Source organism: Homo sapiens, chromosome 2 (assembly GCF_000001405.40).
Source record: "Homo sapiens chromosome 2, GRCh38.p14 Primary Assembly".
Taxonomy (NCBI): domain Eukaryota; kingdom Metazoa; phylum Chordata; class Mammalia; order Primates; family Hominidae; genus Homo; species Homo sapiens.
Window position 1 is genome coordinate 175020347 of NC_000002.12, and position 14761 is coordinate 175035107.

General features: G+C 40.0%; 3 pseudogenes, besides 1 other annotated feature; 2 read left to right on the forward strand and 1 right to left on the reverse strand.

Annotated features, from left to right (window-relative positions):
- On the forward strand, nt 1868-1973 carry RNU6-763P (RNA, U6 small nuclear 763, pseudogene; annotated as a pseudogene).
- On the forward strand, nt 9423-9531 carry RNU6-1290P (RNA, U6 small nuclear 1290, pseudogene; annotated as a pseudogene).
- Nucleotides 10765-10834: a silencer, noted in NCBI's record as "silent region_12132". NCBI's record gives its function as "represses an Ori minimal core promoter by ATAC-STARR-seq in GM12878 lymphoblastoid cells {active_cell/tissue: GM12878}" and the evidence as "EXISTENCE:reporter gene assay evidence [ECO:0000049][PMID:35858748]".
- On the reverse strand, nt 13439-13888 carry RPL21P31 (ribosomal protein L21 pseudogene 31; annotated as a pseudogene).

A 14761-nucleotide genomic window follows, 5' to 3' on the forward strand; every position in this document is an offset into this window, starting at 1 on the left:
TGGGTGTGGTGGCTCACACCTGTGATCCCAGCACTTTGGGAGGCTGAGGCAGGCAGATCACCTGAGGTCGGGAGTTTGAGACCAGCCTGACCAACATGGAGAAACCCCATCTCTGCTAAAAATACAAAATTATCCAGGTGTGGTGGTGCATGCCTGTAATCCCAGAAACTCAGGAGGCTGAGGCAAAAGAATAGCTTGAACCCGGGAGGTGGAGGTTACAGTGAGTCGAGATCACTCCATTGCACTCCAGCCTGGGCAACAAGAGCTAAACTCCATCCCAAAAAATAAATAAATACATAAATAACACTCCATCATTAGTACTTAAGTTAGCACAAGTGGCTTCCTGTTATTTGCAACCAAAAGGGCTCTAACTAACATATTATTTGGTTATGATAAATTTCTCAAAGTAACTGATGTTACACAAGGACGATACATTTTTAAGATTTTAATCCCCATTGCCACATTATTCTTCAGAAATATTGCACCAACTTACATTCTCATTAATAGTATGCCAAAGTAACCATTTCTTAGACTCTGTCCAACTCTGATATTATCCTTTTTTCACTTTTTCATTCAATAAATGTTTATTGAGTGTCCACTATGTGCCTGGCTATGTACTAGGAGCTGGGGATAAATCCTTACCACAATGGAGCTTCCATTCTAGGTGTGAAGAGATAGACAATAAACAAGATAAGTAAGTGGTATTGTACACTAGAAGGTGGCAAATGTCATGGAGACACATGACACAGGAGGCAACGGCAGTGCAGGAGGTGAGGGGCATCCATGTTAAGTGCTGGGGTCAGGGATGCCCTCTCTGAGAAGATGGCTTTCAGCTAAGATTGGAAGAAGGTAAAGGAAAAAGGCGTAGACATACTGGTAGGGGTGGAGGGGGGTTCGAGGGGAAGAGCATCTGGGGCAGAGAAAACAGCCAGGACCAAGTTTTGGAGACTGGAGTACGCCTGTTATGTTCAAGCAATAGCAACAAGGCAGTATGCAAGAGGCAGGGGCAAAGGGAGCAAGTGGGAGAGTGGGGGATGAGGTTAGTGAGGTAATGAGGGCTGCCACATCGTCCTGAGGATGGTGGCTTTCTCTTGGTGAGATGGAGAGCCACTGGAGAGATTTCAGCAGAAGAGTAAATTGTTCCCATTTATGATTTGAAGGGCGCATCCTGGCATTAAGAGAAGATTACAGGCAGGCGCAATGGTTCACACCTGTAATCCTAGCACTTTGGGAGGCCGAGGTGGGTGGATCACTTGAGGTCAGGAGTTCGACACCAGCCTGGCCAACATGGCGAAAACCTGTCTCTACTAAAAATACAAAAATTAGCTGGGCATGGTGGTGCGTGCCTGTAGTCCCAGATACTCTGGAGGCTGAAGCATGAGAATCGCTTGAACCTGAGAGGCAGAGGTTGCAATGACCGAGATGGCGGCACTGCACTCTAGCCTGGGCAACAGAGGGATACTCTGTCTCAAAAACAAAGAAAGAAAAAGAAAAGAAAAGACTACAGCCTTGCATCACTTAATGATCGGGTACTATTCTGAGAAATGCATCATTAGGTGATTTCATCATTGTGTGACCACCATAGAGTGAACTTAGACAAACTTAGATGGTGTGACCTACTACACACCTAGACTATATGATATGGCCTATTGCTCCTAGGCTACAAACCTGTACAGCATGTTATTGGACTGAATACTGTAGGCAATTGTAAGACAATGGTGTTTGTGTATTTAAACACAGAAAAGGTACAGTAAAAATACAGTATTATAATCTTACGGGACCACTGTATTGTATGTGGCCTGTCATTGATTGAAACATTGTTTTGCAGCACATGGCTGTATAGTGAAAGTAAAATTGGAAGTAGGATGTGCTGGCTCTGCCAGTGCATACACTAAAATTGGAGCTATATAGAGAAAATTAGCACGATCCTGTGCAAGAATGACATGCAAATTCCTGAAGCATTTGATATTTTAAAAATACATTTTTAAAAATATTAGAAGTAGGAGAGCAGGTAGAAGACTTTGCCTATCTGCTTGACCAAAACTAATATTTCTTTATTGTTTATTTTGCATCCAAACATTTTACATATAAATTGGTTGTTTGTATTTCTTCTATTGGGAATGGCCTATTTAAGACATTGGGTGATTTTTCTATTAGAATATTTACCTTTTTGTATGAATTTTCAATGATATTAAAAATGTAGCTCTTTTTCATATATGTATAGTTCTCTGTCCCCAGTTGTTATTTCAGTTTAATGCTGTTTATGATTCTTTTTAGATAAAGACATGTTTCATTTTTATGAGAACAGATTTTTAAAAAACATTTTTTTAGGGGTTCTATATGTAATATCATACTTGGTATTTTGCCAAGATTACTGCTGCAGTCTAGGCTTTTTTGTTTGCAAGAAATAGAAGCAGGGTTAATTAAAGGGAAATTAATTATAATACAGGGGATTTGAACTGGAACCCAGACGCAGAAAATTTAGCCAGGCTTCATGAGATATTGGGAACCAGGAACTGAAACCTTGTCCAGAATCAAAACATCTTTATCCATTTCTCTAAGCTTGCCTTCTCTCTCCTCTCTGCTTCTCTCTAAGCAACTGCTTCATTCTCCTTTCCTCCTCTTTGATAAGTTGTTTATCCATACACATCGCTCTGATGTAGCCACCTCAGTTCCAAAACCACTGACAAGTGGACTAGTATCTCTGTGCCCCAATTTCAATTTGTGGAAAACAGAAGCTGATTCACACAGTTCATCTAGTAGATTGGCTCGTCCAGAGGTCAAGTTCCTGTCTCCGCCCATCTCCCAACAAATGAGCTGTGGCCAGGGAGTATGGAAGTCACAAGATACAAGGGGCTTATCTTGAGGGGGGCATGTACAGAAAGAGCTTTTCTCACAGGGAATATGGGATATGTGTTGAGTCTTTGCCATAAAAGAATATAATCCACATTCATATATTTTATTCTAGTACTTTTACGGTTTTTAAACTTTCCATATATCTAAAATAAATTTTTGTGTTAGGTATGCTTTAGAACTCTCACATTATTTTATATTGTATTTTATTGCAAAAGGTTAGCCAGTTGTCCCAAAAAGTGATAGAAAAAATAAATTGAACATGTGCCCAAATTGCTATTGAAATGAACCAGATGTCTTAATTTTTAGATTGTTTAAAATGCTTTTGACAAGTACGGCTATTTAAATAAGGTTTATCTGATTGTTGGAAATTTATCATGGTTATATGTTTGTTGTTGTTCCTTACCAATTAGAAAACAGACCAAAGGCTAGGATCATACCAACATGATTACTCTACATAATGGCTCATCAATACAAAAAGGATATGGGAGCCTCCCCGAGGCCACCATGTTTACAAAATCCTTGTCCAGAACTTGGTGAAGAAATAGCTGTTGGTCAAAGGGTACAAATGTTCAGTTATAAGATGAAAAAGTTTTGGTTATCTAAGGTACAGCATGGGTGGTCGTGGATATGTTAATTAATTTGATTTTGGCAATCCTTACACAATGCATATGTATAACAAGTCATCACATTGTACACCTTGAATATATACAATCTTTGTCAATTAAATATTTTTTAAAATCACTCAGAAAGTTTTAAACGTAAAGTTTCCCATGTTGAAAAGAAAATAAGTTAAAGAGAGAAAGAAAGAAAAGAAAAGGAAAACCCAGCTGACTTCAGAAAGGCACCATCAGGCAAGTGACAACCATATCTTTCCCATCCTTTTTTACCTGTGAAAAAGGAGGGTCTGTGCACTGAATAAATCAGAGATTGTAGAAGCAGAAACCATCCAAACAAATTTTACGATCTGACAAGATTGTTATCATTATTTATTTCTAGGGGGTGTGTCATTGCCCAACAATATCGTTTTAAAGTTCATTATATCATAAATTTAAAAAAAAAACCTAGTCAAATAACTGTAGCCTAAATGTCACAGTTGAAGTAGATGATTTCTAATGTTTCCTAATGATTTTTAATGTTCCTACAAATGTAAAAATCCTTTACAAACGTAAAAGTTCTAGTGAATTTACTGATTTACCAGTTTCCCATGTAAAAATGCATTGGGCTATATGAAACCATTAATCAGATATTGTATTCCCCAAAGGCATTTAAAATCCACCAAAGTCAACACCTTCAAAGACTAATTTACCAAAGGCTCACTAAGAAATTAGCACACATTTAATAATTATTTCAATAGAAAAGCAAACTATTTCTGTATAATGTAAACCATGAAGTGGACACTGCACATGAGCACACGATAATATGATTTCCAAGAAAGTATTATCTTAAGACTGGGCAGTGACTGAAAGAGGAGAGGGATAGTCATCTCTTTTCCAATTCTGTAATGGAGACTGTAGAAAACATTTTAAACAGCGTATTAAAAACCTTTTTAGCAGCTTTTTTGAGATATAATTGACACCTGGTTGACTATGCATATTTTAAGTGTAGAATTTGATATATTTAGACATATGTGTATACCTGTGAAACCATCACCACAATCAAGGTAATAAACATATTCATCACCCCAAAAAGGTTTCTTCTTTTTTTTTTTTTTTGAGATGGAGTCTCGCTCTGTTGCCCAGGCTGGAGTGCAATGGCACGATCTCAGCTCACTGCAACCTCTGCCTCCTGGGTTCCAGTGATTCTCATGCCTCAGCCTCCCAAGTAGCTGGGACTACAGGCACATGCCAGCATGCTTGGCTAATTTTTGTACTTTTAGTAGAGACGGGGTTTCACCATGTTGGCCAGGCTGGTCTTGAACTCCTGACCTTAAGTGATCCACCCACCTTGGCCTCCCAAACTGCTGGGATTACAGGCGTGAGCCACCGCGCCCGGCCCCAGAAAGTACTCTTTGTGTTCATTTGTAATTTTTTCCTCCAGCACTCCCCAACCCCAGAAAACCACTGATCTCCTTTCTGTCACTACAGATTAGTTTGCATTTTTTAGAATTTGATATACATGAAATCATACAGTATGCAATCTTTTTGGTCTGGCTTCTTTCATTCAGCATAATTATTTTGACATTCATCCACGTCATTGTGTACGTCAGTACTTCACGCCTTTTTATTGCTGAGTAGTAATTTATTGCATAGATATACTAGTTTATCCATTCACTTTCTGATGGGTATTTGGATTGTTTCCAGTTTGGGGCTATCATGAACAAAGTACTATGAACATTCATATTCAAGTCTTACTATGCACATATGTTTCCATTTCTCTTACATAAATACCTAGTAGTAGAATGGTTGGGTCAGACAATAAATGCATGTCTAACTTCTTAAGAAACAACTAAACTGTTTTGCAAAAAGGTTGTGCTATTTTACATTTCTACCAATGGTGTATGAGAGTTCCTGTTCCTCCACATGCTCATCAACACTTGGTATGGTCAGTCATTTTAATTTTAGCCATTCTACTAGTGTGCAGAGGTACCTCATTAATCTTGAGTGAAAGAACACAAGGAGAGAAAAAAAATTATTACTGTTGTTTCAGTCTAGCAAAGATGCCTTGAGTGAATCTCATGCTCCTTGGATCCCTAAAGCTGCCCTGGTTCTTGCTCGTGGTGAGCCTGGCTGTTTAGCTGATTTTATGAAAAACAGGCTTTTCCTCATCTTGTACTGGTAACAAATTTCACCCATCCCCCTTACTGCAGCATCTTTATCTCTAGATTCCATTGCCTCTAAACCAAAATCTATTCCTCTTAAAATTTGGACATATGAGCCAATAACTCCACTTTTTGGCTTACTCTAGTTTGAGTCATGTTTCTCTCAGTCACAACTGAAATCACCCTGTGCCCAGTCTTCCCCACATCTGTTCTGTGTGTCATGTACCCAGTGCCAAGCATAAGGCCTGGGAATCAGCAAGTACTGAATAAATAAACTAGTATCCTCTTAAAAATAAAAGACATTTTAGGCTGGGCATAATGGCTCACACCTTTAATCCCAGCACTTTGGGATGCTGAGGCAGGCAGATCGCTTAAGCCCAGGAGTTTGAAACCAGCCTGGGCAACACAGTGAAGCCCCATCTCTACAAAAACTTTAAACATTTGCTGGGGGCATGGTGGCGTGCATCTCTGGTCCCAGCTACTCAGGAAGCTGAGGTGGGAGGATTGCTTGAGCCCAGAAGGTTGAGAGTGCAGTGAGTAGAGATCATGCCACTGCACTGCAGCCTGGGCTACAGAGTGAGGCCCTGTCTCAAATAAATAAATAAATAAATAAATAAATAAATAAATAAATAAATAAATAAAATAAAAGACACTTTAACCGAATCTATAGATGACAAAAAACTGGAAGGGTTGCTTTGAGAGGCATAGTGCTTAAGCACACCTCTTCTGGAGTCAGACTGCTGGGTTTGAATCCTAGCTCATCATTTATTATATTACCTGTGTGACTCTGGGCATGTAATTAACTTCTGTGTGTCTCAGCTTCTTCAATCTTAAAATATTGATGATAATAAGACCTGTCTCATAAAGTTGTTAAGAGGATTACATGAGTTAATTTACAAAAAGCACTTAATGCCTGACACATGCAAGTATTTTTTGATTTTTGTTTTATGTTCATGCTAATAATTTTTTTTTTTTTTTTTTTGAGACAGAGTTTCACTCTTGCTGCCCAGGCTGGAGTGCAATGGCACAATCTCGGCTCACCACAACCTCTGCCTCCCGGGTTCAAGCGATTCTCCTGCCTCAGCCTCCAGAGTAGCTGGGATTATAGGCATGTGCCACCACGCCAGGCTAATTTTGTACTTTTAGTGGAGACGGGGTTTCTCCATGTTGGTCAGGCTGGTCTTGAACTCCAGACCTTAGGTGATCTGCCTGTCTCGGCCTCCCAAAGTGCTGGGATTACAGACATGAGCCACCGTGCCTGGCCCATGCTAATAATTTTTGAATGATAGAGTTGAGATGGAAAATGTGTTGATATGCTATCAATGAATGATATGCTAAAACCTCAGTTACTCAGTTACTACATGAAATGCCTAACTTCCCTGAGAAGCAGTTTTTTTCTTCACCATTTAACCAGGCAAATATAAAGTCTACATTCAGGCTCAAATACCTGGACATTAGACAGTTTAACAGAAGTTCATGGATTAAGGACTCCAAGTCTTCCCACTCCATATCTTGCTTTGAAAAAAGAAAATATGAAAAAATAAAAAAAATTTTAAAAGACTCTGAGTTAGGAAGTTGACATGAGATTAGCTGATGTCAAGTTCATTTTGAGCTGGTAAAATGGCAAGGCTATCATAAAACTTTCAAAGATGAGACTCCATTGCTAGAAGTAGTGTGTCTTAATTATGGAAGATTATAATTTTTGAGTTCTCTCCTCAGCACCCATCAAAATAGAGTATGTACTCAGCACTTTGATGGGCTGGAAAGCCCTGGAGGAGGATGAGAAGAGAGACAACCATGTAATCTGAAGAACAGTTGAGAGCCTTTAAAAGGCTTGTTCTGAAATAACACAAGATGCAAAGCAGATGAAATAACAGTCTTCGGATACCAGAAGTACCGTCCTGTAGAAGAGGGATGGGACTTCACCTGACTTGCTCCTGAAGCCCTGGGAGGAAAGGCCTGGTGCAGACTCCAGCCCAGTGGGAGACATGCTCTTTCCCAGCGGCAGCTGCCTGGAGGGCCACAGTCCACTGGCCCCAAGAGGAGCCAGGTAAATGTCATTTCAGGGACACATGAACAAGGAATTCTAAATGGGAGATAGGTGGATCATTCAGGAATGCTCTGTTTCATTTCCTATTCTAAAAACACATGACTCTTTTGAGATTTTTGTTTAGGTTTAAAGGAGGATAACCAAACACTAGACCGATGAATTGCAGTTTTTAAAAAGTAGAAGCAGCTGCCTGTTGGCTTTTGCCCTAAAGTCCCGTGGGAGTGGAAAGAGGCATGACTGTTTCCCAGGACAGATTGTTCCCAACTGGTCTCACTTTCAGGATTGTGCCCACGTGGTCAAAGTTGAGTCTACTTTCCGTATTGCTGATGCCTGTGGCCATAGCCATGGAAGGACGTGGAAGAAGCCGTGGTCCTGCCCCTGTGTAAGATGAAGACTTGTGAAACCACTGGGTCATCGTTTTTCATTTTGGTCACTTGCTGTCAGCCTTGGAGGCACAGGAAACAGAGTAGATGGTGCAAATCCGCCTGCAAGCGCATTTTCTTTCTAAAGAAAGTGTTGCCAGACTATTTGCTCACAGAACAACCACTGGCTAGATGAGCCCACACTAAGTAAACACAAAGGAATTAAATCAGGTGGATCCGAATTCCTCTGTTTATTTACTCCACAGTGAAAATGGCTTACTTTTTCTTTAAAAAAAGAACTTTGTTCTCAAAAGCTGCCCCACCTCTAATGCTACTTTTTTAAAAAGAAAAAATATACATATAAGAAGATACATTAAAAGGCTATTGTTCAAAAAATCTATTTCTTGTACGTTGTAGATTTAAATAGTGGTGAAAAACAGCCCATGAAATCTTTGATATACATGTGTGTTTGTAGGGAAAAAAAAGTAAATATCAGGCTGTGCTCAGTGGCTTATGCCCATAATCCCAACATTTTGAGAGGCCGAGGTGCAGAGATCACCTGAGGTCAGGAGTTCAAGACCAGCCTGGCCAACATGGTGAAACCCCGTCTCTAAAAACACAAAAATTAGCCGGGTGTGGTGGCAGGCACCTATAATCTCAGCTACTCGGGAGGCTGAGGCAGGAGAATCGCTTGAACCTGGGAGAAGGAGGTTGCAGTGAGCTGAGATCATGCCATTGCACTCCAGCCTGGGTGGCAGAGCGAGACTCCATCTCAAAAAAAAAAGAGTAAATATCTTGTAATATAGAAAATCTTAATTAAATACACCTTGTTTAACTAAATAGAGGCAGCAAGAGGGGGGAGTTGCCCTGGATTATTTTTGTTTGTTTGTTTTGGGGTTTGTTTTTTCTGATTATAAGAGCAATATATGATCATGGTAGGAAAATCTGGAAAATTATGAAGCTTTCTATGTTCACAGAATGAATATAAAACAAAAAAGTACATGTTTTAGGTGGCTAGTTTTACATTTATTAAATGTATTACTTAAAATAAAATGCTTTAAATGCCCTAACAATAAGTGCTGGCTGGTTAATCTCCCTCTGAGGATCTCAGAGCAATTTACCAATACCCCTGCTCTGACTGTAAAAAGGGTATGATGAGTCTTCCGGACTTTAAAAGCATATTGATCCTTTCAAGCTCTTCAAGTACTCAGCACTGATTAATTCATTGGAAAGTAGTCTCAAAAGGGCATTGTTCTGATGCAGTCTATGCTTATAACTTTGTGGACTCCTTTGCTGGCAACCAAGACCCACTCAGAAAATTCTGGGTCAGAAAATAGAAGGCTAGCATTTAAAGATCCTCAGTTAAGTATATGGCCAATTCATTTTTACTAAAATTGTGTTCTCTTGGGCAGCACATATACTAAAAAATTGGAACAATACAAAGAAGATTAGCATGGCCCCTATGGAAGGATGACACACAAATTCATGACACATTGCATATTTTAAAAAGAAAAATTAATAAATAAAATTATTTTGCTAATGGGGTTTCCTTCTTTGCATGTCTATGAATTGGAGACAGTTTAGCGCTTCCTAGCAGTCCTGAGCCCTGGGATTCCCTAAATGTGGTCCCTGAACAAGAAGCATTAATATTACCTGGGAATAGCAATCTGTGTTTCAATAAGCCCTCTAGGTGATCCGGAAGCACATGAAAGTTTGAGAATCACTGTCTTAGCTGTTTTCCCCCTGAATGCAGAAATTAGCTCCAATTGACTCATGCTGTCAGACTTCATTTACGTGTGTATACCTGGATCTGGGGGATGATTATATGGGGACACATGTCCATAAAAATTCTCTGAGCTTTACACTTAAGATACATACATTTTACTGAATTTAATTAAACCTAATGAAAAAAACAACACTGCTAAATTATATTTCTAAGAAAGTTGGTCGGGTTCAGCTTGTCTCTTGAATAAAGGTGGTGAGATCCAAGGGCCTTGCCCATAGCATCACTGCCATGATGAGAGATTCCATGATACTGACAGCCAAGGACATCTGTGTGTAGCAACCCCAAAGACATATATTGACATTGTTTAGCAGTAAGTCAATCTCCAAGCAATAACCTCAACTTGTTTGACATCATCCTGGGTACATCTCTGAGTTGTGGGGCACAGCCACAGGAAACCCTAACATGAAACCAAAAGGGGCAGGTAGAAAAAAGTGCTGGACTTTTAAACTAGAGAAGGAAAGCATGAGAAACCTAGGAAGCAGTGATTAAATGCAGCCAATCAGGTGGTACGTACAAGTGTTGGGCAAGAGAGAAGCTGTGGTCAAAGGCCGTAAGAGACACAGCAAGGACAGCAGAGCTGCCCAGGCAGCCTCTCTGCTGACATAGTCCATAGAAGACGGTTGTGGGAAAGAGGGAGGAAGAGTGACCCACAGGCCAAGAAGAGCTTCACAGGGCCACAGCTTTAGCAGCTGTCTGTCTGCTGTCTTGGCCCTAAGGATGAGGTGGAGACCCCTAAGAGCCCTGGTGTCAATTGTGCATCCAGTCTCAGAATCACAGAAATTCTGTTCCTCAGTGCTGAAGTGTTTTGTGTGTCCCTAAAGGAAAAGCACTCCCGGAGCTGCCAGGTTCCCATCCCGACCCATGAAGAACTGTCTTCTTGATTAATCACCCCCTCTTCCACTGTCATGCAGGGAACTCACATTAGGCTTTGTATCTGGGCCCATTTTTGCTCATTGCCACACTGCTGGGAAATGGGGGCCATCCACAGTGAACTGCAGTGAAAGAAAAGTTGAAGAAAAACTGCACCACCAGGTGGACCCAGAGTCCTGACTATACTGTGCCCATGTGCACAGCTGCCTGGATGCTCTCCCAGCCAGCTCCTGAGTCCTCAGAGTTGCTTCTGCTTTTCCTAGGCTCCTTATGTGAAATGTGACTTTTTTTCATGGAAGTACCCCCCATGAAGTATTTCCCAGTCCTGCCCTGCTCAGTTGAAATGTAAATAAATTTGAAATTGTTCCTATCTAAATCAGTGAAGTATCCCTAAATTTCCTAGACCATTTCAACCTGAAAAGCAGTTCTAGGCATTTTTGGTTTTAGCTTCTGATGTTTCAATTTCATATTTCACTATGGTGGATGTTTGTTAGTTCCCTTGGCTACTGAGCATCCAAACTTTATTTCTCTGTTGGGTGAGTCTTCCATTGCATAAATCTTTGTGAGAAAAGGCCTCGCTCTCACTACAGAATTTCAAGGGGAGGGTACCCATTTCTCCATCCCTGAGGAGTCAGCATGAGGAGCTTGGGGGCTGAGCTCAGCCAATCAGATGCTGCCACTTGCAGCTTTAACTCCTGAGCAATAATGCAAAGATCAAGACATCATTAAGAAATTATTCACTGGCCCAGCGCGGTGGGTCACGCCTGTAATCCCAGCACTTTGGGAGCCTGAGGTGGGTGGATCACAAGGTCAGGAGTTCAAAACCAGCCTGGCCAAGATGGTGAAACCCCATCTCTACTAAAAATGCAAAAATTAGCCAGGCGTGGTGGCGGTTGCCTGTAATCCCAGCTATTTGGGAGGCTGAGGCAGAGAATTGCTTGAACCCAGGAGGCAGAGTTTGCAGTGAGCCGAGACCGCACCACTGTACTCCAGCATGGGTGACAGAGCAAGACTCCATCTCAAAGTAAAAAAAGAAAAGAAAAGAAAAGAAATTATTCACAGGGCTAACAGTGCAGAGTCTAGTGGGTAGTGGGTAGGGCCAGTGTCCACCGGCAGGTGAACTAGTAGCAGCTTCCTAGCTGCAAACTCTTTGGATTACAGCTCTTGGAACGTCCTAAAAATTCCTGCATGGCATGTCTTCTTAGTTCTTTGTCCCAAATTCTAGCTTTTCTTCTCAACTGTAGGCTAAATCAGACTCTAAGCCCATGTTTCTCTGTTTTTGGTCTCTGTCTGAGATACACAAAAGCAGGCATAGCAGCTGGATCAGAAGCACTTGAATTAGATGGCAATAAGTTTCCTTTTGTTTTCAGTAATGCTTTTACTGTCAATCATTAGAATAGTTCAGATTAGTTTGTGTTTTAGTGTTAAGCCATTAATTATTTTTAAAATTTATACTTTAATTTTAGATTCAGGGGTACATGTGCAGATTTGTTACAAGGGTATATTGCATAATGCTGAGGTTTTGGCTTCTACTGATCCCATCACCCAGATTGTGAACATAAGTATCCAATAGGAAGTTTTTTCAGACCTTGTCCCCATCCATCCATGCCTCTTCCTGGAGTCCCCAGTGTTTATTATTCCCATCTGTGTGTCCATGTCTACCCAAGGTTTAGCTCCCACTTATCAGTAAGAACACGCAATATTTGGCTGTTTCTGCATTAATTTGCTTAGGTTAATAGCCTCCAGCTGCATCCAAGTGACTGCAAAAGATATAATTTTATTCCTTTTATGGCTGCATAGTATTCCATAATGTATATGTACCACATTTTCTTTATGCAATCCACCATTCATAGGCACCTGAGTTGATTCCATGTCTTTGCTATGGTGAATAGGGCTGTGATGTCCTTTTGGTAGAATGATTTACTGTCCTTTGTGTATATACCCAATCATGGGATTGCTGGGTTGAATTGTAGTTACATTTTCAGTTCTTTGCAAAATCTCCAAACTGCTTGCAGTAGTGGCTGAGCTAATTTACATTCCCACCAACAGTGTATAAGCATCCCCTTTTCTCTTTATCCTTGCCATCTGGTTGTTTTTTTTTAACTTTTTAATAATAGCCATTCTGACCAGTGTGAGAGGGTATCTCATTATGATTTTGATTTGCATTTCTCCAATGACTAGCGATGTTGAGCATTTTTTCATGTGTTTCTTGGCCCCTTGTATATCTTCTTTTCAGAAGTGTTTGTTCATGTCCCTTGCTCACTTTTTAATGCAGTTACTTGTTTTACTCTTGTTGCATTAAATTCCTTATAGAATCTGGATATTAGCCCTTTGTTGGATGCATAGTTTGCAAATATTTTATCTCCCATTCTGTAGGTTGTCTGTTTACTCTATTAGTAGTTTCTTTTGCTGGGCGGAAGCTCTTAAATTTAATTAGGTCCCACTTGTCAATTTTTGCTTTTGTTGCAATTGCTTTTGAGGACTTAGTTATAAATTGTTTGTCTAGGAGGGTATTTCCTAGGTTTTCTTCTAGGATTTTTATAGTTTGAGGTCTTAACATTTAACTCTTTAATCCATCTTTTTCTAAAACAAAATTATCATTTTTAATTTTTGTGGGTACATAGTAGATATTAATACTTATGGGTTATATAAGGTATTTCAATACAGGCATGCAATATGAAATAATCACATCAAGATAAATGGGGTGTCCATCACCTCAAGCATTTATTCTTTGTGTGTCAAACACTTCTCATTAGAAGTGTGCTTCTCTGGGTGAAGCAGGTTGGCACTTCAATTGAACCAAGTACCTTTCTCTTTGGCTTCCTTCTTTATCTGATCATTTTCCTTCATACGTTTCAGGAAGCGATCTCCTCTCTTAGAGTGCTTAATGTGCTCCACACACACATTCTCTTGGCAAGAATCTTGCCCTAAATTGTTTGTTTACAACAATGCCAACAGCATGTTGGGTAACATCATAGACTCTTCCAGTTTTGCCATAATAACACTTGTGGGGCATTCCTTTTTGAACAGTACTCATTTCCTTGACGTCTACAATATCATGTTCCTTACAGATTTGCATATACATGGCCAAAAGAACAACTCCATGTTTTCTAAAAGACCAACATATATTGGGTGCCTCTCTTCTTTCCCTTTGTTTTTGTCATTTTGGTGAATTACTGGAACATGGCAGCTCCAGCCAAAATGAAGCAGGAGTTTGACTATTAAATGCCTTGAGGTAGTCTTCTTTGGGTTAAATCTGCTTGGTGTTCTATAACCTTTTTGTACTTCGATATTGATATCTTTCTTAGGATATTCCTTAGGATATTCGTAATCCTAAGGGGATGCTACTCGTAATGTCACAGGGGGTGTACATCATGTGTGTATACCCCCTGCGATTTTATTTGTAATATCCTAGTGGGATGTTACTTCTATAAGTTTGGGAAGTTCTCTGTTATTATTCCACTGAATAAGCTTTCTACCCCTATCTCTATGTACACCCACTGTGATATTATTCCTAATATCTTAAGTAGTAATTACTTCTAATATCACAGTGGGTGTACACCCTGTGACATTTTTCATGATATTTTAGGGAGATACTACTTCTAACACCATGTGTGTACGCCCACTGTGATATTATTTGTAATATTCTAGGAAGATATTACTCCTAATATTAAAGTGAGTGTACACACTGTGATGTTATTTGTAATATCCAAGGGGGATGTTACTTCTAATGTCACAGTGGATGTACATCCTGTGATATTTTTGGTAATATGCTAGGGGGATGTTACTCCTAATGTCACTGGGATTGTACACCCTGTGATACTATTTGAAATATCCTAGGGGGATGTTACTCCTAATATTACAGAAGTATATGTGTGAGCAGGCCCACACATATACTCATTTCCCCAAATTTCTCCAAGCTCTTCTCCCAACCAGGAAGCGCGACTTGGTTGTCACATTCTGCAATTTCCCTTCTCAGTGTTTCATGGTACCATCTGTGATTAATTTTCCAAGCTTAGTTCTCAAGTGTTTGAAAGTACAGCAAAATCTCTTATCGCATTCAAGGGCTTAGTTCTTAT